We start from the raw sequence: 26,503 nt of genomic DNA, 5'->3' as shown, positions 1-26,503 counted from the left end.
ATTGTTCATGCTTTTGGTGCCAAATCTAAGAATCCATTGTCACATTCAAGGCCATGAAGATTTACCTTATTTTTTTTTCTAAGAGTTTTAGATTTTATTTTAAAGTCTATGATCTATTTTGAGTTAATTTTTGTAGACAGAGTGAGATAGTGGTCCAATTTCATTCCTGTGCATGTGGTTATCCAGTTGTCCCAGCACCTTTTTTTTTTTTTTTTTTTTGAGATGGAGTCTTGCTCTATCGCCCAGGCTGGAGTGCAGTGGTGCAATCTCAGCTCACTAACCTCCGTCTCCCAGGTTCACACCATTCTCCTGCCTCAGCCTCCCGAGTAGCTGGGACTACAGCCGCCCGCCACCACACCCAGCTAATTTTTTATATTTTTAGTAGAGACGGGGTTTCACCATGTTAGCCAGGATGGTCTCGATCTCCTGACCTTGTGATCCGTCCACCTTGGCCTCCCAGCATGCTGGGATTACAGGCGTGAGCCACTGCACCCAGCCTCCAGCACCATTTTTTTAGAAAAGATTATCATTTGCCCCATTGAATGGTCTTGGTAACGTTGTCAAGTGTCAAATTGACATCCAGTGTGTATCATGGATGTAAAAAATATATGTATCTGTTGACCATAAATGTTTGGGTTTATTTCTGGATTCTTAATTCTTTTCCATAGGTCTATATATCTAGCCTTATGCCAGTACCACACTGTTGAGATTACTGCAGCTTTGTAGTAAGTTTTGATATTGGGAAGTGTAAGTACTGCTACTTTGTTTTAAATTTTGTTTTCACTATTTGAGGCCCCTTGGAGTTTCCTATTTCATGGATTCCTTAGAATTTTCTACATACAATCTCATGTCATCTGCAAATAGAGACAGTTTTACATCTCTATTTGTGGATGGCTTTTATTTCTTTTTCTTGCCTAATTGCCTGGGCTAAAACTCCCAGTAGAATGTTGACTAGAAGTGGTAAGAGTGGACATCTTGTCTGTTTCCTGATCTTAGAGGGAAAGCTCTCAGTCTATTAATTTAATAGCATGAAATACGATATTAGCTGTAGTTTTTTTTTTTTTTTAGACAGCGTCTCCCTCTGTCACCCTGGCTGGAGTGCAGTAGCTCAATCATGGCTCACTGCAGCCTTGATCTCCTGTGCTCAAGCAATCCTCCTACTTCAGCCTCCCAAGTAGCTGGGACTACAGGTATGAACCACCACGCCTGGCTAGTTTTTGTATTTTTTGTAGAGACGGGCTTTCACCATGTTGCCCAGGCTGGTCTTAAACTCCTGGGCTCAAGCAAGCCACCCACTTCAACCTCCCAAAGTGCCAGGATTATAGGCATGAGCCACCCTGCCTGGCCTAGCTACAGATTTTTCATAGGTATGTTTATCAGGTTGAGGAAGTTTCCTTCTATTCCTAGTTTATTGAATTTTATAATCATAAAAGAGTGTTGAATTTTGTCTTGCTTTTTCAGCATCTATTGAGATGATCATGTAATTTTTATTCTTTATTCTCTCAATTTTGTGTGTTTCATCGATTGATTTTCAAATATTAAACCAACCTTGTATTCCTGGGATAAATCCCACTTGGTCATGGTGTATAATCCTTTGTATACGTTTCTTGATTTGTTTTGCTTGTATCTTTTTGTTGTTGTTGTTTTGAGACAGAGTCTCGCTCTCTCTTCCATGCTGGAGTGCAGTGGCGTGATCTCAGCTCACTGCAATCTCTGCCTCCTGGGTTCAGGCAATTCTTGTGCCTTAGCCACCAGAGTAGCTGGGATTACAGGTGTGTGCCACCACACCCAGCTAATTTTTGTATTTTTATTAATAGTAGAGATAGGGTTTTGCTATGTTGGCCAGGCTGGTCTCCAACTCCTGGCCACATGTGATCTGCCTGCCTCGGCCTCCCAAAGTTCTGGGATTACAGGTGTGAGTTGTCACACCCAACCGGTTTGCTGGTAGCTTGTGGAGGACTTTTGTTTCTATAGTCACAAGGGATATTAGTCTGTAGTTTTCTTGTGATATCTTTTTCTAGCTTTGGTATCAGGGTAATACTGGCCTCACGGTTGCTTCCTCTTCTTTTTTTGAAAGAGTTTGTGAGGGATTTGTATTAATTTTTCTTTAAATATTTGATAGAAATCACCAGTGAAGCCATCTGGGTCTGGAATTTTCTTTGTTGAAAGTTTTTAAATGACTAATTCAATCTTTTTCCATGTTGTAAGTCTGTTCAGATTATTTATGAGTTCTCCTTCTTATGTCAGTTTTGGTAATTTATGTCTTTCTAGGAATTTTTTCATTTCTTCTATTTATCTAACTTGCTGGCATGCAGTTGTTCACAGTGTTCCCTTATTATCCCTTTACTTTTGTGTGTGTGTGTGTGTGTGTGTGTGGAGATGGACTCTTGTTCTGTCTTCTAGGCGGAGCGCAGTTACACGATCCCAGCTCACTGCAACCTCTGCCTCCCAAGTTCAAGTGATTCTCCTGCCTCAGCCTCCTGAGTAGGTGGGATTACAGGCGCCCGCCACCACGCCTGGCTAATTTTTTTATTTTTAGTAGAGACAGGGTTTCACATGTTGGCCAGGCTGGTCTTGAACTCTTGACCTCAAATGATCCACCCGCCTCGGCCTCCCACAGTGCTGGAATTACAGGCGAGAGCCACTGCACCCAGCCCCCCTTTACTTTTTATAAGTATTGATAGCTCCCTTTTCATGCCTGAGGTATTAATCTGAGTCTTCTCTTTTTTTTTTCTTGGTCAGTCTAGCTAAACAGTTGCCAATTTGTTGATCTTTTCCAAGAAAAAACTTTTGGTTTTACTGACTTTCTCTATTTTTTCTATTTTCTATTCCATTTATTTTTACTCTTACCTTTATTATTTCCTTCCTTTGGCTTTCTTTTGGTTGAGTTTGCTCTTCTTTTTCTAGTTTCTTAAGGTGGAAGTTTAGGTTATTAATTAGAAATCTTTCTTCTTTTCTAATATTGACATAGTTACAAATGTCTCTCTAAGCACTGCTTTAGCTGCATCCAGTAAGTTATGTTATGTTGTGTGTTAGTTTCCATTCATCTCAACATATTTTCTAATTTCCCTGTGATTTCATCTTTCACTCATTGATTATTTAGGAGTGTTTTTAAATTTCTACATATTTCTAGCCAGGCGTGGTGCCTCATGCCTGTAATCCCAGCACTTTAGGAGGCCAAGGCAGGCAGATCACTGGAGGTCAGGAGTTCGAGACCAGCCTGGCCAACATGGTGAAACCCTGTCTCTATTAAAAATACAAAAATTAGCCGGGCATGGTGATACACTCCTGCAGTCCCAGCTACTTGAGAGGCTGAGGCAGGAGAATCACGTGAACCCAGGAGGCGGAGGCTGCAGTGAGCCGAGATAGCACCACTGCACTCCAGCCTGGAGGACAGAGCAAGACCCGCCTCGAAAAAAAAAAAAAAATTCTACGTATTTGTTAATTTCCTTGGTTGTCATTTTCTAATTTAATTCCATTGCAGTTGGGGAACAGACTTTATGTAATTTCAATCCTTTTCCATTTATTGAGGCTTGTTTTAAGGCCTAGTATAAGTCTACCCTGAAGAGTGTGTCACGCGTAGCTGAGAACAATGTGTGTTCTGCTGCTGTGTGGAGTGTTTCGATGTCTTTCAGGTCTTGGCTTACAGTGTTGTTCAAGGCTTCTACTTCCTTGTTGATCTTCTGCCTCGTTGTTTTATCCGTTATTGAAAGTGGGGGCCGGGCGCAGTGGCTCAAGCTTGTAATCTCAGCAGTTTGGGAGGCCAAGGTGGGCGGATCACGAGGTCAGGAGATCGAGACCATCCTGGCTAACACGGTGAAACCTCGTCTCTACTAAAAATACGAAAAATTAGCCGGACATGGTGGCGGGCACCTGTAGTCCCAGCTACTCGGGAGGCTGAGGCAGGAGAATGGCGTGAACCCCGGAGGCGGAGCTTGCAGTGAGCGGAGATCGTGCCACTGCACTCCAGCCTGGGCAACAGAGTGAGACTCCGCCTCAAAAAAAAAAAAAAAAAAAGAAAGTGGGGTATTGAAGTCTCCAACTACTATATTGAATGGTCTAATTCAGTTCAGTTCCCTTCAGTTTTATTAGTTTTTGCTTCATGTATTTTGGGATCTGTTGTTAGGAGTATATATGTTTACAATCATTTTATCTTCCTCATAAACTGGCTCTTTTATCATTATAAAAGATATTGTATCTTTAGTAACAATTTTTTTTTTTTTTGAGACAGAGTCTTGTTCTGTCGCCTAGGCTGGAGTGCAGTGGTGCTATCTCGGCTCACTGCAACCTCCGCCTCCCAGATTCAAGCAATTAGGAGCGCCTGTCTCAGCCTCCCGAGTAGCTGGGACTGCAGTGCACGCCACCATGCCCAGCTAATTTTTGTAGTTTTAGTAGAGATGGGGTTTCACCATGTTGGTCAGGCTACTCTTGAACTCCTGACATCAGGTGATCCACACATCTTAGCCTCCCAAAGTGCTGGGATTACAGGCGTGAGCCACCTCGCCCAGGCTTCAGTAAGAATTTTTGTCTTAAAGTCTAGTTTGTCTCATGCTTGTGTAGCCACCCTAGCTCTCTTTTAATAACTCCTCACATGGTTTCTTTTTCCATCCTTCTACTTTCAACTCTTGTGTCTTTGACTCTAAAGTAAATCTCTCACAGTTAGATCATTTTATTTTATTTTATCCATTCTGGGATGGGCCCGGTGGCTCACACCTGTAATTCCAGCCCTTTGGGAGGCCCAGGTGGGAGCATCACTTGAGCCCAGGAGGTTGAGACCAGCCTGGTTAAGATAGCATGACCTCATCTCTACAAAAATTTTGTTTTTAAAATTAGCCAAGCGTGGTGACGTGGCCCCGTAGTCCCAGCTATTTGGGAGGCTGAGGTGGGAGGATTGCTTGAGCCCAGGATGTCGAGGCTGCAGTGATCTAGGATCACACCACTGCACTCCAGCCTGGGCAATTGAGCAAGACCCAGTCTTATAAAAGGAAAAAAATAATAATCCATTCTGCCAATTTCTGCCTTTTGATTGGGGTGTTAAATTCATTTACATTCAATGTATCACTAATAAGCTAGGATTTATGTCTGCCATTTTGCTAATTGTTTTCATATGTCTTGCCTTTTTTGTTCCTCTATTCCTTGATTCTGCCTTCTTTCTTTCTTCCTTCCTTCCTCCCTCCCTCTCACCCTCTCTCTCTCTCTCTCTTTCTTTCTTTTTTTTTTTTTGGAGACACGGTTTCACTCTGTTCCCCAGGCTGGAGTGCAATGGCGCCATCTTGGCTCACTGCAACCTCCGCCTCCCGGGTTCCAGTGATTCTCCTGCCTCAGCCTCCCAAGTAGCTGGGATTACAGGCACACACCACCACACCCGGCTAATTTTTGTATTTTTGGTAGAGACGGGGTTTCGCCATGTTGGCCAGGCTGGTCTCAAACTCCTGACCTCTGGTGATCCTCTGACCTCAGCCTCCCAAAGTGCTGAGATTACAGGCGTGAGCCACTGCCCCCAGCCTGATTCTGCCTTCTTGAGTGTAAAATAAATATTTTCTTTCTTTTTTTATTTTTATTTTTATTTTTTTGAGATGGAGTCTTGCTCTGACGCCCAGGCTGGAATGCAGTGGTGCGATCTCAGCTCACTGCAAGCTCCTCCTCCCAGGTTCACGCCATTCTCCTGCCTCAGCCTCCTGGGTAGCTGGGACTACAGGCGCCTGCCACCACGCCCAGCTACTTTTTTTGTATTTTCAGTAGAGGCGGGGTTTCACCGCATTAGCCAGGATGGTCTTGATCTCCTGACCTCGTGATCCACCCGCCTCGGCATCCCAAAGTGCTGGGATTACAAGCTTGAGCCACTGCGCCTGGCCTCTTTCTTTTTTTTAATACAGGGTCTCACCTCCTGGGCTCAATCGATCATCCCACATCAGCCTCCCAAGTAGCTGGGACTACAGGCATGTGCCACCATGCATGGCTAACTTTTAAAAATTTTTTTATAGAGATGGGTCTCGCTAGATTGCCCAGGCTGGTCTCAAGCAATCCTCCTGCCTCAACTTCCCAAAGTCCTAGGATTACAGGCATAAGCCACAATGGCTGGCCAATATTTTCTGATATATCATCTATTTAATTCTGTTTTTTTGTTTCATTTACAATTTTTTGAGTTATTTTTAGTGGTTGCCCTAGGGATTACAATTAGCATGTTAACTTAGAACAATCTAGTTCACCTTAATAGTAACCTAATTTTAATAGTGTTTAAAAACTTTGCTCTAATATAGCTCCATTCCTCTCCAGTCCTTCATGCCATTATTGTCATACAAATTACACCTTTATATGTCAACACAGTTTTGTAATTATTGCTTTATGTAGTTATCTTTTAAAGACAGGGTTAAAGACAAAAAGGAAAATAATTACTACAAAAATGTTTATTCTTTCTTTTTTTTTTGAGACAGAGTCTTGCTCTGTCACCCAGGCTAGAGTGCAGTGGCACTGTCTCAGCTCACTTCAACCTCCACCTCCCAGGTTCAAGTGATTCTCCTGCCTCAGCCTCCCAAGTAGCTGGGATTACAGGTGCCCACCACCACACCCAGCTAATTTTGTATTTTTAGTAGCGAAAGGGTTTCACCATGTTGGTCAGGCTGGTCTCGAACTCCTGACCTCAAGTGTCCACCTGCCTTGGCCTCCAAAAGTGCTGGGATTACAGGCTTGAGCCACCGAGCCTGGCCTATACTGTCTTTCATAATGCCTATGTGGCTATCCTTACAGTGTTCTCTATTCATTCGCGTGGACTCAAATTACCATCTAGTGTACTTCCGTTTCAATCTGAAGGCTGCCTTTACTATTTCTTATATGGCATGTCTGCTAGTGATAAATTCTCTGTTTTTTAAAATCTAGAGATATCAGTGGGGGTATGGCGGCTCACACCTGTAATCCTAGCACTTTGGGAGCCTGAGGCAGGAGGGTTGCCCAAGAGTTTGAGACCAGCCTGGGCAACATAGGGAGACCCTGTCTCTACAGAAATTAAAAAATTAGCTGGGTATGGTGGCACGCACCTGCAATTCTAGCTACTTGGGAGGCTGAGGTGGGAGAATCGCTGGAGCCCAGAAGGTCCGGGCTGCAGTGAACTTCGATCGCCACTGCACTCCAGCCTGGGTGACAGAGTGAGACCCTGTCTCAAATAAATAAATAGGCCCGTCACAGTGATTCACGCCTGTAATCCCAGCACTTTGGGAGGCCAAGGCAGGAGGATCGCTTGAACCCAGGAGTTCAAGACCAGCCTGGGCAACATAATGAGATCTTGTCTCTACTAAAAAAAAAAAAAAAAAAAAAAAAATAGCTGAGTGTGGTGGCACATGCCTGTGGTCCCAGCTACACTGGAGACTGAGGCAGGAGGTTCACTTGTGCCCAGGAGGTCCAGGCTGCAGTGAGCTGTGATCACACCACTTCACTCCAGCCTGGGCAATGGAGCAAGACCCTGTCTCAAAAATAAATAAATAGAATAATAAAAATAAAAATAAATCTAGAGATATTTTCATTCCTTATTTATTTATTTATTTATTGAGACAAAATCTCACTCTGTCACACAGGCTGGAGTGCAGTGGCACAATCTCGGCTCACTGCAACCTCCACCTACCAGGTTAAAGCGATTCTCCTGCCTCAGCCTCCCGAGTAGCTTTCCTGAGTAGCTGGGATTACAGGCATGTGCCACCACGCCCGGCTAATTTTTGTATTTTTAATAGAGATGAGATTTCACCGTGTTGGCCAGGCTGGTCTCGAACTCCTAGCCTCAGGAGCTCCCTGCCTCAGCCTACCAAAGTGCTGGGATTATAGGCATGAGCCACTGTGCCAGGCCTATTCCTACTTTATTTTTGAAGGAGAGCACAGGGTTTTCATCCATTCTCACTCAAAGTCTACTACAGTCTGGAGAAGGTGGCCCAATGGGCTTGTTACCCCATCTCTGTGTCCTTTCTTTGGACTTAAACTTACCCTGGTTCTACAGCTTACTAGCTATGTGATCTTGGGCTGGGCAAGTTATGACACTGCTGCGTGCCTCCATTTCCTCATATATAAAATGCAGAAAACAATGGTGGTGTGCTCAAGAGTGTTGGACGACTGATTTAAGACGTGTTGGCCGGGTGTGGTGGCCCATGCCTGTAATCCCAGCACTTTGGGAGGCCGAGGCGGGCGGATCACCTGAGGTCAGGAGTTCGAGACCAGCCTGACTAACGTGGAGAAACCCCATCTCTACTAAAAATACAAAATTAGCCTGGTGTGGTGGCGCATGCCTATAATCCCAGCTACTTGGGAGGCTGAGGCACGAGAATCACTTGAACCTGGGAGGTGGAGGTTGCAGTGAGCCGAGATCCAGCCTGGGCAACAAGAGCGAAACTCGGTCTCAAAAAAAATAAAAATAAAAAAAATAATAAGACGTGTAAAGCCCTTGGAGCTGGCAGAGCCTACAATGCTATAAGCTCATTTGCCCAACAGAAACGACTTGGGAGGGTGGGGCATAGGATTCAGTGAGCAACTGAGCTCTTCCCAGCTCCTGGGCTCCTCCCTAGATTCTCTTTATATATATACAGATTTAAATATATATATATATGTATATATATAATAGAGGAGGGGGAGGGACTATACTATGTTGCCCAGGCTGGTCTTAAATTCCTGGGCTCCCGCCTTGGCCTCCCAAAGTGCTGCGATTACAGACGTGAGCCACTGCCCCAGCCCTCCCTAGATTCCCTTTAATGACTGTCACCTGGTCTTCCTACAGAAAGCTGCGAGGCTCAGCAGAGGCAGCCTGTAAACTGGCTGGGGCAACTACAAAGCAACCGCCGGCACAGAAGGACGCCCACCCCATGTTGTAAGCTTACACATGTGAAGGGGACAACGGGCAAAACCCATTCTGTCCTTTTGCAATATTATCTGGGCCTGGAGTGCCTACGACAGCTGGCCCAAGCCTCCTGTCTGCGGGGCAGGACTGCTGGAACCATTGTGAAGCTCCAGGTAGGCCTGAGAAGGTGCCTGTGCACCTGCCTGGGCTCTGTAGGAATAGAGAGCAGGTGCCTGGAAACTTCGCACAGCAATGAGGGCCACCCACTCTTCCAACTCATATCTGTCCCTGTGTCATTGACCAGTCCCCCAGGACACTTACAAAAAGGTCACCAGGAAAAAGTCTGCCTCCGTCCTGCCACCCCTTGGTCCAGTCCCCATCGCCCTCCTTCCCTGGGCCAGGTACCTCTCCTGTCTCCCAGCCCCACTCTGGCCCTTTCCCTCCAAAACAAGTGAGACAGCTGACTCATGCCTTGAGGAAAGCTATTTATTTCCAAGATATAGACTGTACTTTTAAGACAGGACTTTTCAGAAGCAGGAAATTTTAGTTGTTGCCAGAGAGGTGTGTCAAGGACACAGTGAAAGGAGCCATGCGGACATGGGGTGGAAGGCTTTGTCCAACACTGTTACAACACTTTTGTAAATGAGCAAAACATCTTTAAAAATCCTTATAAATTCTTTATAATATGTTACACATTTAGAGACAATATTTACAATAAAAGAATGGGGGAGGGAGGGAAAGAAATCTACTTTACAGTAAATCTTTGCATAAAACAAGAGGACTGATAGACGTGGCAGCGGGTTCACCACCTACCTGGGCTTCCCTGGAATGAGTGAGGGTGTGTGGGGGCTGGCCTGGTGATTGGAAGTCTATTTACAGCCTGTGGGGAGAAGAGGGCGCTGGGTCCTGTCCATCCTGCAGGAACAGCCCAGCTCAGACCCCATAAATCAGTGTGTGAGTGACAGAGAGACAGCAGGGGTGTTGACTATCCCTCCTCCTAAGGGGAAGAAGGTGGGCTTCTGTGTGCCTGGGCTGTGGAAGGAACAGGCACAGATGGAAAAACAAAAAGAGGGGTGAGGGAGGTACCAGCAAGGGGGACCCTGGACCCCCCCCACCAAAAACTGTCTGGGGAACAGGCAGCTGCCCGTGGTTAAAGCGCTTAGAGGGTGACTCAGGCAAAAGGATGTTGGGGAGTAACCCTGGTGAGGGTTTCAGTCCTGCCTCCTTGGAATGGCCCCAACCCCCTTCTCTGGCTCTGGCAAGGGGGGCGGGCAGGATCCTGTGTGCACCAAAGGCAGGGAGCCCGGGGGCGCAAAGTGGGGACCAGGGTGGGGATAGGGGGACAGAAGTCGCTACTGGAAACACCTTGGGACAATGACTGCACACACAAGCCCCTCCCCCCATGGACATACGCACCCTACACCTCCTCTCCCCAGACATACACACATCCCCGCTTACAAGCTGAGGTGGGAGGGCAGAAGAAAGAAGCAAAAAGCCAGCATCACCCAGGATCTTTCCTTTAGTCTGAAACTTAGGGGTTCCCTAGCCACACCCCATGGTCCACAAGGGTCCCCAAGTGCAGCCACAGAAAGGCTCAGAAGGACCTATCGGGCGCATGTGTGCAGGGACACAGACCCCAGCAGCCCACGCCCCCTCCTCTTCTGCTCATCACCTCTGGAACCCCCTTCCATTCAATTAGTCCGGCCCCAGCCTTCTCCTCTGCCCTGCCAGTTCCAGCACACCAACTAGAGACACTGCCTGCTGCGCCCTCCACCCACACCATGCACCCAGGGGCCACAGAAGAGGAGGTGCAGGCTGGTGAAGCCTCCTGGTTCCAAAGGGGCTCTAGGGAGGGGTGGCGCCCGAGCGGCGCGGGAGGTGGGGATCACAGACACTGATGCAGGCGGGAGGCGGCCGAGCGGCGCGGGGGCTGGCTCTGCAGGGACCCCGTGTCCCCGGGCGCGGGCGGCTGCGAGGCAGCGGACGACGGGGCCCGCGCCTTGGTGGACTCCAGGCTGCTGAGTCCGGAGTCCTTGTTGTCACTGTGCGCCCGCGCGCCCGCAGGCTCCGGGGGGCCCCCTCCGCCCAGCTCCTTCCACTCGTTGAAGTTGAGGTCAGTCAGCGGGCTCTGCACCACCACGGTGTGGCGGCGCCAGCTGCTCCGGCGCCGCCGGGTCTCGGGCGACAGCGGCCGCCGCAGGCGCACGGCGAGCATGTCGTCCGCCGTGCCGCGGAGCCTTAGACGCAGCGCCTCCATGCGCGAGGGCCGGGAGGCCAGCGCCGCCGCCGGGGGCCGCAGCGACTCCTGGCTGCTGGACGACGCCGAGCCGGGCGGCTCCGGGGCGCGGGGACCGCCCCGGCCCGCGCCCTCGCCGTCTGGGCGGCCCCGGGCCAGGCGGCGGCGCGCCAGAGTGTCGCAGGGCATGAGGTGGTGCGAGCTGAAGGACGGCCGGCGTGTCAGGCGCCCCCCAGGCCCCGCGCCCGCCGCGCCCTCAGTGTCCGTCTCCACGTGGCTCAGCTCGCTACGCTCGTCGTCCGCCTCATCCCCCGCCCCTGCCCGCCGACCGCTAGCGCCCGAGCACACGCTGCGGTCCATGGTGGACAGGGTGGAGTAGCCCGACACAATGGAGCGCGTGTCCGCGGCCGGCCGCTCCTCCGGCGCCGCCGGGGGACTGAGGCGTCCGGGGGCCTCGGGGGCGACGGCGCCAGGCAGCGGCCCCTGCGGCCGCTCCTGAGTCCCCGGCGCTGTGGCCCCCGCCCCAGGCTTGTGCGCCTCCTGCTCCGAGTCGTCGTCGGTGCTGCTGCCCAGCCCCCGCGCCTCCCGCCGCTTCTTGCGCTTGCGGTTGACGGCCGAGATGAAGGAGATCGCCAGCATCTCCCGGGCGTACGGCTCCTTCTTGGGGGCCCACGAACCCTGTGTGGGAGACAGGTCAGGATGCGGGGGGCGCCCGGACTCGGCCCCCTGCCGACCCCGCTCTACCCGGTCCACCCCCACGTCACGGCACCCAGTCGCCACAAGCCCCAGCCAAGGCCAGCACCCACGGCCGCATCATAAAACGCTCCTCCTCCAGCCCCGTGCCGCCCTCCGTCCAGAGACTACCCCCGCTGGCCCAAATCTAGGCTCTCAGCTCTTTCTTGTGAGGTGGGCTGGTCTCCCAAAGCCCCCTTCCATTCTGTTTTCCGTATCCAGCCCTGGCTAAATCCTTTAGACACGGCTCTGGTGATGACAATCTCTCCACAGTGAATAACGCTTGGCAGCCTGAATCCGTTTCACACACGCCCCTGGGGTGTCATCACCAGAGCTTCCTGCATGCTGATCCCCAAATCCCCGCCAGGGGCGCTCTCTGACCACAAGTCCCCCACCTCCTCTCCACCCGCTGCCACCTGGAAACCTGCCTTCCCACCTGCCCAGCATCTACAGGCCTCTCCAGGGCAACCCGCCCAAGTTCACGTCCTCCCCTTTCCGCCGGACCCCACCAGCTCCCCACCCCGCCAATCCCCAATCCCAGGTCAATCCCGCCGCCAGCTCCGCCCCTGCAAGTGGCTGAAAGATCCCGTATGGTGTCATGGTTTGGATTGGAGCCGCTCCCAAACTGTGATTTCCAACCCCAAGTTGGGCAACTTCATGCCGCTGTTCTCACCTGAACCAGCCCTCACTGCTACACCCTGTGGTGTTTTGGGGCCTTGGCCTTTCACACTTTCCCAGGAGGGCCCATGCTGCCGCCCATGGCCTTCTGGAAGCTGGTTTTCATCCGCCCTTCTGGCCTCTCCTCTGCCTCTTGGGAGGTTCTTCTTGCCCGCCCCCCGCCCCGCCCCTGCCTTCCCCTGCCTTCCCCACTGAGACTCAGTGTTCCCAGGACTGTTTTTGGCCCCTTTGCCTTCTCTGTTCGTGTTCCCTAGAAAATACCATTCCCAAGCAGCGCTGCTATCCAGGCCTCCCTGTCCAACACCACACTCACTTGAGCTCCGGGACTCTTCTTCCCATTGAGAATCCATTTCTACCTGGGTGTCTGTAGGCTCTTAAAACTCACCTATCCGGAACCACAGCATCCTACCTACCCCTGCCCCAAACTGCCTCCATTCACACTGCTCACCTTAGGGCGGTCTTGTGACTCCTCCCTCTCTCCTCCACCCACAGCCAAGTCCTGGATTCTTTTGAAATGGCTCCCAAAGCCAACTCCTCCTCCTCCTCCGGCAGGCCCTCATTCTGCCCTCTCTGGGCCCTCCTGCCCCTCCTAATAGGGTTTCCTGCCTCCACCCTTGCCCCAGCCCGGGTCTCTCCTCCAGAGCCACCATTCTGAAGCAGGAATCTGATCCTCACCCAGCTTTGCTCAGAAGCTTGCATGCCCCAGCACCCACCAGGATAAAGCACAAGTTCCCCAGTTCAGCACATGGGGCTCTTCATAACCCAGCCCCAACTTTCCCAGCCTACTGCCCTGCTCTGCCCTGACCCCAACCCCAACACAGCCCTCACTGTGGAAATACAGCCCTACCAACCCTTCCTTTGATGTGACCTACACTGTTACATTGCTGCCAGCCCTTAATGTCCCCCTGCCCTATTTGCTGGATGAGCTCCTACTCACCCTACAAGGCCCAGCTCGAACATGGCTTCCTCTGTACAGCCACTTCCCAGCCCTCCCTTTGCCTGAGATGGGAGATCACTTCTCTATGTTCCTGTCATCTCACTATGCTCCTAGCTCTTCTCACATCAGCCTCATCAAACTCTGAGCTCCTTAAGAGCAAAGGCTGTGACTTGGTTGTTTCTGCATGGCACATAACAGGTGCTCAATAAACATGAAATGAACAAACAATTGGTGAATGAAGTCCCCTTAACACAGGAAGCCTTGTAGAAGCAGACGCTGGGACTGGTTCCTGTCTTGGGCTGGAATGACCTGACAAGGTCACGCTGCCCTTTCAACCCCTCCTCACAGACCACCTCTTGTTTCAGCCATGGTGTAATAATGAATGGAGACCCAGATGCCTCTTGTGGCCACTGCAGCCACTGTCCTTGCTCTCACATTAATTAGTTCTGAGAAAACCAGAGCATGTCAGGGACTCAGGAGTCACAGGCATGTGGCTCCTGGGCCATGGTTGCCCACAATGCACAACACCAGAAGGCACCCCCTGGAGTTGTGCAATGTGGTTGCACTGCTAGGATCAGCCTGGAGCATATGGTGGCCAGTACTGCTTTCTTTCCTGGCCAGTGCTCTCTGAGAGACTTAAGAGGCCGCTAGGATCACCTGATCAAACTACCCTCTCATCCCAGCTGGTTCCAGAAGCAACGAGGTCAGACTGATTTCTCTTCCAAGGAATGCAGAGGTCAGCAGATTCACAGAGAGATCAGGGAGTTAATCCAGGATATACTGCAGGAAAGCAGGGGGCCAGCAGGAGCAATGGACGGAAGTGACAAGGACCTGGATGTAGGTCACTATAATGAACTTTCTCCCTGTCACAGCAATCTTATGATGGAGGTCTCTGTCACCAGAGGTGTCCAGGTGCAGGCAGGGGCTCCATGCAGAGCTTACAGGGGACCCTTGCACCAGGCTAGAGCATTATTATTATTATTATTATTATTATTATTTTGAGACGGAGTCTCCCTCTGTCACCCAGGCTGGAGTGTAGGTGGCGCAATCTCGGTTCACTGTAACCTCTGCTTCCCGGGTTCAAGCAATTCTCATGACTCAGCCTCCCGAGTAGCTGGGATTACAGGCATACACCACCACACCTGGCTAATTTTTGTATTTTTAGTAGAGACGGGGTTTCACCATGTTGGCTAGGCTGGTCTTGAACTCCTGGCCTCAAGTGATCCTCCCACCTTGGCCTTCCAAAGTGCTGGGATTATTACAGGCATCAGCCACTGCGCCCACAGCCTTTTTTTCTTTTGTCCAGTGTATTCATCCGACACACACGGAGCACCTGCCAGGTGTCAAGCACATGGCTGTGGAGTGGGCTTACAAACCTGGCCAGTGCAGTGCTCAGAGACCCAGACAGAAATGAGCCCAGTTCCACCAGCCAGTCATCAGCTGGTTTCACTCACTGCTATGGACTAAATCGTGTACCTCCCAAACTCACATGTGGAAGCCCTAACCCCCAGTTTGGAGGTGGAGCCTTTGAGAGATAATTAGGTTTAGGTGAAGGTGGGACCTTTTGATGGGATTAGTGCGGTTATTAGAAGGGACACCAGAGGGCTTGGGCTCTCTTGCGCTCTCTTTTCTTTCTGCCTTGCCTTGTAAGGACACAGTGTGAGAAGGTGGCCATCTACCATCTACAAGACAGGCAGGGAACCCTCACCAGAAATGAGCCACACTGGCACCTTGATCTTGGACTTCTAACCTGTAGAACTGTGAGAAAATCAATTTCTGTTGTCTGAGGCACCTAGCTATGGCATTTTATTACAGCAGCCTGAGATGACTTTATACACACCCTGCCCTCAAGCTCTAATCTCACAGCCGGGCAGGGTCACCCAGGGCAGGCCTCATCTCCTAACGGGTTCTGTCTCACAGGGGAGGCTCTGGAGCAGGCGACTTGCTGGTTGTGAGACCTGGGGCAAGTTACAGAAGCTCTTCTGGCCTCTGTTTCTTCAACTGCAAAATAAGGACAATTTTATCTCTAACTCACAGGGCATTTGTGAGGATTAGTAATTCTAAGCACAGTAACACAGCAAATGCTCAATAAATTGTAACTATTCATATTGTTGAATACTTTAAACTTAGGAATCAGCGATGACCAAAGGCATTATTGACAGCTGGACTGACACCTTCTGCCAAACAAGCTAATTACCAGCCGGAATACTCTGGAGAAGGTGCTGTTAACTGGAGTCCCTGGGTTGGCTTTGGGGGTCCATAAACTCCTTGAACTTGCCACAGGATTTGTGTAGATAGGTGTCGTTCTGGAGCAAGAGTGCATAACTTTCCTTTTTTCTTTTTTTGGAGACGGAGTCTCACTCTATTGCCAAGGCTGGGAATGCAATGGTGCAATCTTGGCTCACTGCAACCTCCACCTCCCCAGTTCAAGCGATTCTCCTGCCTCAGCCGCCTGAGTAGCTGGGATTACAGGCGTGCACCACCACCCCCAGCTAATTTTGTATTTTTAGTAGAGACGGGGTTTTGCCATATTGGCCAGGCTGGTCTCAAATTCCTGGCCTCAAGTGATCTCCCCACCCTGGCCTCCCAAAGTGCTGGGATTACAGGCATGAGCCACCATGCTTGGCCTCCTCTGATTCTTGAAGGTGCCTGAAGTAGATAGGGAATCCCTGCATTCCAATATCTGTTGTCAATGCAAAAATTTTCACAGCCAGTTCTCTGTCAGGGTCAGGGTCATGGGGAGGTTTCTTATGGGGCAAGGGTTGGGGTCAAGGAATTTGAGGAACTTGAATAGGGCAGGGCCGGGGAAATCAGAGCCTGGTCAGGAGCTAGACTTCTCCCTGTACCAGTGGGGGTGCTCGGGGATTATTGCAGGCTGTAAAGAAAGCTAAGCAGTAGGTGAGGGACCACCAGAGAAGACAAAAGTGGTCCCCTTCCTCAAGAACTTGGAATTAAGATGATAAGGAGAGTGGGGTGCCGTGGCTCATGCCTGTAATCTCAGCACTTTGGGAGGCCGAGGCAGCAGGATCCATTGAAGCCAGGAATTCAAGAACAGCCTACGCAAAGAAGCAAGACCCCATTTCTACAAAATAATACAAAAACATTAGGCAGGAGTGGTGGTGTGTGCCTGTAGTCCAGCTAACTCAGGAGGTTGAAGCAGGAGGATCACTTGAGCACAGCAGTTAGAGGCTGCAGTGAGCTGTGTTCAGGCCACTGCACTCCAGCCTGGGTGACAGAGCAAGACCTGTCTCAAAAAAAAAAAAAAAAAAAAAAAAAAAAAAAAAAAAAAAAAAAAAGATGATAAGGGAGGCTTCTGAGTAATGAACAGCTCCACTCCACCCACCACGGAGCTGAGAGACTGCCATGTGTGCCTGGCCACACTCCTACCCGGGACAGCCTAAACCATCCACACAGGGAGGCAAGATCAGAATGTGGCTGTAACTTGGGGCACCGACGCCGCCTGGGTGTCCTGGACACAGCCTGGAGAACGTCTACAGACAGGACTGTCACATCTAGAACAATGGTTTCTGATGAGCTTGGGAGCACTCTGTCCAAATCGAATCCTCCCTAGAGACCCAGCAATGTGAGACAGAACCAAGAGTGGCTCAGATGGAGGCCGTGGGAGCTTGGATCCCTGCACGCTTGGTCCTGTCATACACCTGTTGGTGGTCACAACCCCATGGTGGCTCCAGGGAACACAGTTTGACCATCACAGACCTGGGTTTTAGAGTCAGGCAAGAGAGACAGAGGCTGGCAGTCGTGAATGTCCGGCACTTGCAGGATTTGTGCCCACCCTCAGAGCTCACAGCCTGGCGGGAGGCCAGGCCCTGGTGCCCGAGGCAGCCCCTTCCTTACAGCCGGGACAGGAGGCCGCAGGCTCTCAGATGCCTGGTGCCTCCTGCTTCCCTGACTCCGATTCCTGGTCTCCCCAGTAGATGAGACTGAGACCACTGCGGCACACACAACTCAACGTCCCTGTCCCTGCAACAGTTATTCCTATCGCTGTACTTAATAGACCGGCAGCCTCGTCTGTGCCTCCGTTTCTTAGAGGCTTGGCCGGTTGGTTTCAGCTCAGGCTCAGGACAGAGCCAGTCCCTGTGCCAGAAAATCAAGAAACACTCAGAGCCTGAGAACAGAGGATCAGAACTCAGATACCAGAGCACCAACCAAGGAAGGAGGCCACCTAACCAGCTCCCCTGCCTGAGGCCCAAGAATATGCCCAAACTTCTAGTTACTTAAGTTCTCTGAGCCTTGGTTCCCCACATCTGTAAAATGGGGATGGTACAAAATTCAAGGGTCTTCCGTAAAAATGAAATGAAACCGATGTTCGTGAAAAGTTATCTGCATACTGGCTGGCACCTAGTAGGTGCTCAGTAAATGTGCATTCCCTCCTCTTTCATCTCATGCTAGTGATTGTGATGAACTCACTGGGTCACAGTGAAGTCTCTGAGTCAGTTTACAGTAAAGACGTACTCTCTGAAAAGCACGTTCTATTGTTCAAGGCCCTGTGATTGAGAAGGCCTCCTGCAGGAGTTCCCAGGTTAATGCAGGAGTCAGGCAGGCCCAGACTGGGAAGCGGTAACTGCTAGCGTCTCAGGAGGAAGGAATTTCAAGCCAGGAGGCTTCCGGGAGGCAGTGGCCTGTGAGCTCTGGGGAGGTCAGTGTTGAGTCCACTGGAGACACGGTGGGGTCACAGGAAGCAAATGAGGACATCTTCTGGCCAGAAGGGACTCAGAAGGGGCTCTCCGGGGAGTGTGGAGAAGCCAGGCCCAAAGGGGCGGGGCACGGCTGCTGGGCAAAGTGCTGGCTCTCGAGAAGGGGCCGCAGCCTTCAGAGGCCTCGGCCTGCCCATGATGCTTCTCGGCCCCTTCAGGAAATCTGCCTTGCTTCATGGGACCCATTTCAGACTTCCTTCACTCTGCTCAGACTTTCCCTGCCACCTTCACGCCCAGCAGAGGTCCTCACCTTCCACTTCGCTGAGGAAAGAGCCATCAGCTGGGAGTGACCCCAATGACCTGCTGCCAACACTGCCTGCCAGTGTGCCCCTGCCACCTCCCTCTCTTCCTACTACACCTGGGGATGCATCTGCTAGGAGCACAGGCTACTGCTGCTTCACGGGCTCTGGGCCCAGCTCTTCCTCTCTCTCTCTGTCTCTCACCTGGATCATTCCCATTGGCAAGTAAATATGTGCTTTCGTCTTTTTTTGTTTGTTTGTTTGTTTGTTTTTGAGATAGGATCTTGCTCTGTTGCCCAGGCTGGAGTGCAGTGGCATGATCACGGCTCATCACTGCAGCCTCAACCTCCCAAGCTCAAATGATCTTCCTGCCTCAGCCTCCCAAGTAGCTGGGACTACAGGCATGCCCCACCATGCCTGGTTAATTTTTGCATTTTTTGTAGAGTTGAGGTCTCACTATGTTGTCCAGGCTGGTCTCGGACTCCTGGGCTCAAGGGATCCTCCTGCCTCGGCCTCCAAATGTGTTGGGATTATAGGCGTGAGCCACCATGCCTGGCTGCTTTCATCTTTTAATGAAAGTTTCCCTCAAGCCACATATTTTTCCATTTTTGTTCTGTAAATATCTCTTCACAATCGGACTTCTCACAAGAGTGGTCTACGTATGCGCTTTTCCCTCCCTCACTTTATTAGCTCATTCCATCTGGTTTCTGCCTCCACTGTGCCTCCAAACCTGCCAGACAGATAGTCTATTTCTTCATAAGCTTAGTGTCTGTCTCTCATTAGAAGATAAGCTTTGTGAGGGCAGGAACCTATCTGTTTGGCTCATTATTTATATTTTCAGTACCCAGCACAGTACTGATATAAAGTAGACGTTCAACAAGTATTTGTGGTATTATCAAATGAATTAGCCCTATCTTTTTCAAAAGCATTGTTAGGTTTTGGTATCAGGGTAATGCTGGCCTCATAAATGAGTTGGAAAGTGTTTCCTCCTCTTCTATTTTCCTTTCTTTTTTTTGAGACGGAGTCTCGCTCTGTCGCCCAGACTGGAGTGCAGTGGCACGACCTCGGCTCACTGCAACCTCCTCTTCCCAGGTTCAAGCAATTATCCTGCCTCAGCCTCCTGAGTAGCTGGGATTACAGGCGCATGCCACCACACCCAGCTAATTTTTTTGTATTTTTAGTAGAGATGGGGTTTCACCATGTTGGCCAGGCTGGTCTTTAACTCTTGATCTCAAGATCCGACCTCAGCCTCCCAAAGTGCTAGGATTACAGGCGTGAGCCATGGTGCCCAGCCACCCTCTTTTATCTTCCAAAAGAGATAGTGGAGAATTGGTATTATTTCTTAAATAACTATTTAAATAACATTTAAATAATTCAAATATTTAAATAACTATTTAAATATATCAATATTTAAAATTATACTATTTTCTATTTAGAATATTTTAAAATTATTAAAGTAAATTGTTTAAAAATTTAAAAAATTCCTTAAATATTTGGTAGAATTTAACAGTGAAACCATCTGGTCCTGAAGTTTTCATTGTTGGGGGATTTTAAATTACATATTCAATTTCCTTAGGAGGTATAGGACTATTCAGGTTATCTATTTTTTCTTAAGTGAGTTTTGGCAGTCTGAATCTTTCAAAGAATTGGTCTATTTCACCTAAGTTATTGAATTTATGGGCAACTTTATGCCCATAAATTCAATTACTTAGGGGTCTATAGCCAGGCGCAGTGACTCACGCCTGTAATCCCAGCACTTTCGGAGGCCAAGGGGGACGGATCACGCGGTCAGGAGATCAAGACCATCCTGGCTAACCTGGTGAAACCCCGTCTCCACTAAAAATACAAAAAATTAGCTGGACGTGATGGTGGGCGCCTGTAGTCCCAGCTACTCGGGAGGCTGAGGCAGGAGAATGGTGTGAACCTGGGAGGCGGAGCTTGCAGTGAGCCGAGATGGTGCCACTGCACTCCAGCCTGGGTGACAGAGCAAGACTCCGTCTCAAAAAAAATAAATAAATAAAAAATAAAAAATAACTTAGGGGTCTGTAGTGATGTCCCTCTTTCATCCCTGATACTGATAATCTGTGCCATCTTTCTTTTTATTCTGTTAGTCTGGCTAGAGGTTTATCAATTTCACTGATTTTTTTTCAAAGAACCAGCTTTTGGTTTCATTGCTTTTTTTCAACTGTTTTCTATTTCATGGATTTCTGCTCCTCTCTTTATTTCCTTCTGCTTGCTTTAGGCTCTCCAAAGACCTTAAAGGATATCTGTTTTATTTATTATAGCACCCCACAGATTTACTGATATTCCCATTTTATAGATGAGGAAGCTAAGGATCAGAAAGTGGTTAAGTAACTTGCCCAATGTCCCAAACTACTAAATGGTGGAGCCAGAACTCAAACCCAGGACTGTCTGACTGCAGAGTCTGTGCTTCTAACTACTGAGTGACATTGCCTCCTAGCCACATAACTCCCAGGCCAGGTCCTTCTACTACAGCAGATGCCTCACCAAACACTGCCAAGGTAAGCAATTTCTCAGCTTACCTTGGGCACTCGGTACCTCCTGCCTTCCCTCCCAGGGACCATCAACTTTCCCCATGGTCCAACTGCCATTCCCTCAATTCCCTTGAACAAAAACCAAAGTGGGCTGCCTTGTACAGGGATCAAGCCTTCAGAATTGCCTTCATACGTACCTTGGACTTGGCTGAACTACAGGTGGTAGAATCTGTTGGTGAAAGACAGAAAAAAAAATGAAAGTTGCATCAGGAAAAAAGAAAGCTGAGTCTTATGCACACAATTCCCTCTCCTCAAAGGCTTCAGAAACCAGGGAATTCTGAAACATGAGATCTCCCCAGGCCCTAGGAGTATGATGGACATCTGATGTCCATCTATGGGAGAGGGATGGAGGAGAAAATGATGTTAACTGCCACTTCCTCTAGAGGCAGGAAGTGACATCAGGCTGCCAGCCACTGGCCCCTCATTTACCGATGGCTAAGGGCAAGGGGGCATTGTCTTTGAGCCTGGTTCCTCTCCCCTTCCCCGCCCGTCCCTGTTACTCTGAAGCACTGGAGAGAAAATGCCAAATATCAGGTGCAGTCCATGGAAACCACCACAGTGAAACACAGCAAATCACAGATGCTCTGGAGAAATGGAGACCACACAGTGCACAGAGAGGTGGGTGCCCTACATCCACCCCCGAGCACACAACAGAGAAGAGGGACCACATGAATAATGGATAAAAGGGCAAAAATGAAGTGGGTGGGACGCAGGAGGTGGAGTGGGCTGGTGATTAGAGCCTTGATAGGTTCCACCTCCGGACCTGGGGTCACCCTGCCTCATGGGCAGGGTCCCCAGTTATCACCCAGTTATGAAGGAGACCAAAAGCATGATTTCTATGGGACTTGGGTCCCACTCCCTTAATATCACTGGGGTGGAGAAGGAACCAGAAACACGTCCTGGTGGGTCCCCTCCAAGGCTAAAGAAGGAGCAGGTTGGTCCAAGGGCCTCCTGGGGTCCCACAGGGTAGTGGGCAGGTGCGGTTAATCCACACTCTCTGGCAGGCAAGTTAGACGCCCCCCTCTCCGGACCCCTCCCCCTGCACAAGGTGAGAAAAGCAAGATGGGCGACCACACACGACACACAGGGCGCGGGGGGCGGCGGGTGATTAGAAGAGACATGGGGTCCCTCTCTGCCGTCCCACCCCCATGTCTTCTGGCCCCTCCTGAGCCTGCCTCTGGTGACTAGGGAGCTCCTGTGTGCCTCTGTCAGAGACGAACAGAAATGCTAAAACTAAAGGGAGGGACAACCATGGCGGGGGGAGGAGTCAGTGGCTGCAGCCACAAAGGGAGTGGCCCTCATCTGTCTCTGAGCATGTAAATCATCTGTCCTCTGCCATGAGAGGGCCACAGGCCCTGCAAACAGGACTTAGGGCCCCGGTTTCTTAAGCAGGAAGAGGCGGCCCATTGGGGTGACTGAGGCAGGAGTTAGAGATAAAGAGAAGCTTCTGGGCGTGGCATCGCTGGTCTCCAGAGAGTGTCGGTCCCCAGCCTGGATGACTAGCAGTGGTGAGACTCGGCAAAGAGAGGCCGCAGGGTCTGTGGCACTGCAGGAGGGCAGCAATTCGATGCCCAGGTGTCCAGGCAACGGGGAGGGCCCTGGGCCCAGTGAGTGCCTCCTTCCTCCTGAGAAGGGGCTTTAGAATGGGAGGGGCATGGACTGCTGGGGTAAGTGGATAACAGGCAGGGGTAACTGGCATGTCAGCGTGGGGTCCTCACAGTCCGGGACATTCTGCCTGCCGCTGTGCCCACCCAGCCTTCTTATAATCACCCGCCACTGTTAGTGACCGAGGCCGCGACACCGCACTGTACCCTTTAAATCTCCAACAGGTCCGCTGGAGGAGGGGAGGGGGAGGAGAAGAGAAGGGGGTGGGAGGAGAGCACGGGGAGAAGAGGAGGGAGAGGCGGGGGTGCAAGGAGAAAAGGAAGAAAAATTAAAAAGAGGAACATGCCCAGAAGGACACAGCCAGCCCATGAGAAATTAAAGGCTGAGGAAAGAAACCAGTGAGAGAGGGCGAACAAAGCTCCGACCCTGCCCGGGGCGGGGCAGCTGCGCAGACAGGAGGTGGGCACGGGGCAAGCTGGACTTCCCTAGGGAGGGAGAAGGCCCCCAACAGCCCCATCTCCATGGTGGCCGGCAGGGGAGGGCCCCGCTGGGGTGGCACAGGGAAGCTGGGCATCTGGCCAGGCACCTGGGACCCTCAGGAATGCAGTGTCCAACCTCCCGCCTCCCCACTCCCAGGCCCCTGCGCTCACCTGACCCCGGGTCGCCAGGGGGCACTGTCCTGCCAATGTTGGGCAGGAGGTACTCAATGTTGGGCACTGCCTGAGGCTCCTTGTCGCCCACAGGGGTCTGCGAACAGGAGGAGGGGTCAGCTGGCATGCCCTCAGATGCTGGGCTGCCAACCCCCCAGAGGGGGGTGCCCTGATGACAGAGCCCATGTCTCCTCCATCAGACCGGGCTCACTGGGGCAGGGACCGTCTCCCTCATCAGCCGGGCGCTCTTGAGGATGATTCCTACATGTCCCCTATTAGACAGTTTTGTGCCTTCCTCAACACCTGGGAACCGCGAAGGCCAGAGCGGCCCCTTCAGCTAGGGGCAGGAGCTGTGTCTCCCGCACCAGACTGGAACTCCTCCAACCTAAGTCCTTCTCAGTAGCCTGGAGGGCAGGAGCTGCCTTTACTCCTGAACTGGGTTCCCTCTGAGCAAGGCCTATATCTCCCCCATTTCGACTGGGGATTCCTGAAGGCAAGCTTTGTGCTTCTCTATCAGACTAGGGGCTCCTGAGGAGAGGGTCTGTGTTTCCTCCACCAGACTTGAGGGAAGCCTCAAGGACAGACACCTTCCCCGGCTTAAGTCCCGCTGCCTGCCCCACCCCCAAGGACTGGGGCTCACCCCAGACCAGCCCCCATGCCAGCCCAGCCCGCGGCATCACTTACTCTCTCTCCCTTGTCCTCTTCGTCACTGAAGAACCAGTCTGACTGCAGAGAAGACAAAAGGAAGGGATGAAATCAGCATGGGAAAGAAGAGTCTCTTCCACCTGCTCATTCCAGAGGACCCGCTCAGGCGGCAAGGGGCGCCTCTCTCTCAACAAACCCCAGGCTGGCGGGGCTGCAAAAGAGGGCTCAGAGGGAGCTTGACGGACCCTAAAACCTGACTCCACAGACTATGAAAAACCCTGGGGGAGAGAAAAGGTGGGACCCCAGTGTGGGAGGAGACACGGCAGGGAGTGGGAGCATTCACCTCAGACAGGAGATAGGCTTAGGGAGAGCTTCGCTTTTACTTGCTTTTCTCTAAACACTGTCCTGGGCACACCCCTGTGGTATACTCCCCACAGCGAGCCGGGGGGCAGGGAGGCACCAGTGCCGTTAGTGTTGGCCAGGTCCATGGCTGTGACAGCCGAGTGTGCCCCACGCCACCTGCCACCCATGGGTGCCACACTGACAACAGGGGTGTCACGTACTCAGCCCAGAAAAGGAAATGACAGGAGAAAGGCGTTGGAGGTTTCCTGAGGGGCAGGAGGCGAGAGCTTTCTCATAAAGGCCAAACAAGAGAGAAAATAAAGACCCCCACAGTTTAATATATTTTGTAAAATTTGAGAATCTTGAAGATAAAATTCTAAGTTTTCTGAAAAAAAAAATCCAGATTGCTTATAAATGAACACGTATCACAGGTACTTGGAACTTTCAGCAGCAAAACACAAGAAGACAAGAAAGTAAGTTTTGACGTGTTGAAGGAACCTAGAATTTTATACCCTGCTAAACTCTCATTTAAATCTGAGTGTAAAATAAAGCTATTCTTTTTTTTTTTTTTCCAACAGAATCTCACTCTGTCACCCAGGCTGGAGTGCAGTGGTGCAATCTTGGCTCACTGCAACCTCTGCCTCCTGTGTTCAAGTGATTCTCTGGCTTCAGCCTCCCAAGTAGCTGGGATTACAGGTGCACGCCATCACGCCTGGATAATTTTTGTATTTTTAGTAGAGATGGGGTTTCGTCATGTTGGCCAGACTGGTCTCAACTCCTGACCTCAAGTGATCCGCCCACCTCCACCTCCCAAAGTGCTGGGATTACAGGCATACCACAGATTGTTTTAATCACCCCTTAAGTGAACCTCCTGCTCTCTGGAGCCACCACACCTGGCCTTGAAATAAAGCTATCCTGAGACATCAGAAAATTTACTACACAAAGACTCTCTTAACTGAATACTTGAGCAAGTAAAGAGATGACCTTCGGCAAGCTCCAAGAAATAACTAAGGCACTTTTGGCTTTTATTGTATTTATGTATTTATTTTTGAGATAGGGTCTCTCGCTGTTATCCAGGTTGGAATGCTGTGGCCTGATCCTAGCTCACTGTACCCTTGAACTCCTGGGCTCAAGAGATTCTCCCACCTCAGCCTCCTGAATAGCTGGGACTACAGGCATGTGCCACCTTGCACAGCTAATTAAAAAAAAAAAAATTGTAGATTTTGGGATTACAAGCATGAGCCACTGCACCCTACCACTTTTGGCTTTTAGATGTGGTGGAAGGAAGACACAGAAACTGATAAGCATTAGAAATTGATAGTGACAGGCCCGGTGCAGTGACTCACATCTGTAATCCCAGCACTTTGGGAGGCTGAGGCGGGCGGATCACCTGAGGTCAGGAGTTTGAGACCAACCTGGCCAATATGGTGAAACCCCATCTCTACTAAAAATATAAAAATTAGCTGGGCATGGTTGTGCGCACCTGTAATCCCAGCTACTCAGGAGGGTGAGGTGGGGGAATTGCTTGAACCCGGGAGGCAGAGGTTGCAGTGAGCTGAGGTCGCACCACTGTACTCCAGCCTGGACAACAAGAGTGAAACTCCATCTCAAAAAAAATAAATGAATAAAAATTAAGGCAATTACCCTTTACCCCCCTCAACACCTATGAAAGAAGAGGAACAGGCAATTTATAATCTCATTATGTAGACTTAAAACACACAAAGAATATTATATATATTTAAGGGTAGCCATGCATTTACAATAAGTGGAAGGTGTCCTGGAAGGACACATATTAGCCTATTAAGAGTGGGCACCTAGGGGAATGAAGAGGGGAAACAAGGGGACTTGCCTGAGCATACGCCATGAGCCTCAGTTATTATCGCTCATGATCTGACATGTGATTAACTCAAACAGCACAGGAAGGCCAGAAGGGAAAGAAGAAAGAGATAGAAGAGAAGACAGCAAAGGAAGATAAGAAAAATGCAAGCTCTGGCCGGGCACAGTGGCTCACACCTATAGTCCCAGCACTTTGGGAGGCTGAGGCAGGTGCATCAGCTGAGGTCAGGAGTTCAAGACCAGCCTGGCCAACAGGGTGAAACCCCAGCTCTACTAAAAATACAAAAATTAGCCCGGCATGGTGGCATGCACCCATAATCCCAGCTACTTGGGGGTGCTGAGGTGGGAGGATCACTTGAGCCCAGGAGCTGGAGGCTGCAGTGAGTGGAGACCGCGCCGTTGCACTCCAGCCTGGGCGACAGAGTGAGACTCTGTCTCAAAAAAAAAAAAAAAAAAAAAGAAAAAGAAAAATGGAAGCTCTGGAGTCAGTCATCTTGGTTCAAGTTCACCTTAGCCAAGTT

At 50.4% G+C, this 26,503-nt stretch overlaps 1 protein-coding gene across 10 annotated transcripts in view, besides 4 other annotated features; it reads right to left on the bottom strand.

Annotated features, from left to right (window-relative positions):
* Window positions 1–9,284: 9,284 nt before the first annotated feature.
* Window positions 9,285–26,503, bottom strand: part of ARHGAP23 (Rho GTPase activating protein 23) — a 93,111-nt gene continuing 75,892 nt past the window's right edge. For 6 of the 10 annotated variants that reach the window (XM_006721991.2, NM_001199417.2, XM_006721992.4 and 3 more), the window contains 4 exons: window positions 23,844–23,885; window positions 23,160–23,256; window positions 21,042–21,073; window positions 9,285–11,726 (listed from right to left, as the gene is read on the bottom strand). In XM_006721991.2, coding sequence (XP_006722054.1) covers window positions 10,698–11,726; window positions 21,042–21,073; window positions 23,160–23,256; window positions 23,844–23,885 — 1,200 coding nt within the window. In that variant the 3' untranslated portion in view covers window positions 9,285–10,697. Of the gene's footprint in view, window positions 11,727–15,177; window positions 15,397–21,041; window positions 21,074–23,159; window positions 23,257–23,843; window positions 23,886–26,503 lie in introns of those variants that run through there. The other 4 variants (XM_011525076.3, XM_047436477.1, XM_006721993.4 and 1 more) reach the window with 3 other exon arrangements.
* Window positions 11,270–12,086: an enhancer, noted in NCBI's record as "H3K4me1 hESC enhancer chr17:36665820-36666636 (GRCh37/hg19 assembly coordinates)". NCBI's record gives its function as "activates a minimal SCP1, AML or CMV promoter by ChIP-STARR-seq in primed H9 embryonic stem cells {active_cell/tissue: H9 hESC(primed)}" and the evidence as "EXISTENCE:reporter gene assay evidence [ECO:0000049][PMID:30033119]".
* Window positions 12,087–12,914: an enhancer, noted in NCBI's record as "H3K4me1 hESC enhancer chr17:36665002-36665819 (GRCh37/hg19 assembly coordinates)". NCBI's record gives its function as "activates a minimal SCP1, AML or CMV promoter by ChIP-STARR-seq in primed H9 embryonic stem cells {active_cell/tissue: H9 hESC(primed)}" and the evidence as "EXISTENCE:reporter gene assay evidence [ECO:0000049][PMID:30033119]".
* Window positions 21,553–22,077: an enhancer, noted in NCBI's record as "H3K4me1 hESC enhancer chr17:36655835-36656359 (GRCh37/hg19 assembly coordinates)". NCBI's record gives its function as "activates a minimal SCP1, AML or CMV promoter by ChIP-STARR-seq in naive and primed H9 embryonic stem cells {active_cell/tissue: H9 hESC(naive and primed)}" and the evidence as "EXISTENCE:reporter gene assay evidence [ECO:0000049][PMID:30033119]".
* Window positions 22,078–22,604: an enhancer, noted in NCBI's record as "H3K4me1 hESC enhancer chr17:36655308-36655834 (GRCh37/hg19 assembly coordinates)". NCBI's record gives its function as "activates a minimal SCP1, AML or CMV promoter by ChIP-STARR-seq in primed H9 embryonic stem cells {active_cell/tissue: H9 hESC(primed)}" and the evidence as "EXISTENCE:reporter gene assay evidence [ECO:0000049][PMID:30033119]".

The sequence above is a fragment of the Homo sapiens genome, chromosome 17, assembly GCF_000001405.40.
Source record: "Homo sapiens chromosome 17, GRCh38.p14 Primary Assembly".
In the NCBI taxonomy this organism is placed as follows: Eukaryota; Metazoa; Chordata; class Mammalia; order Primates; family Hominidae; genus Homo; species Homo sapiens.
Note: the sequence above shows the minus strand (reverse complement) of the source record. Positions and strands in the feature narration are given on the sequence as shown.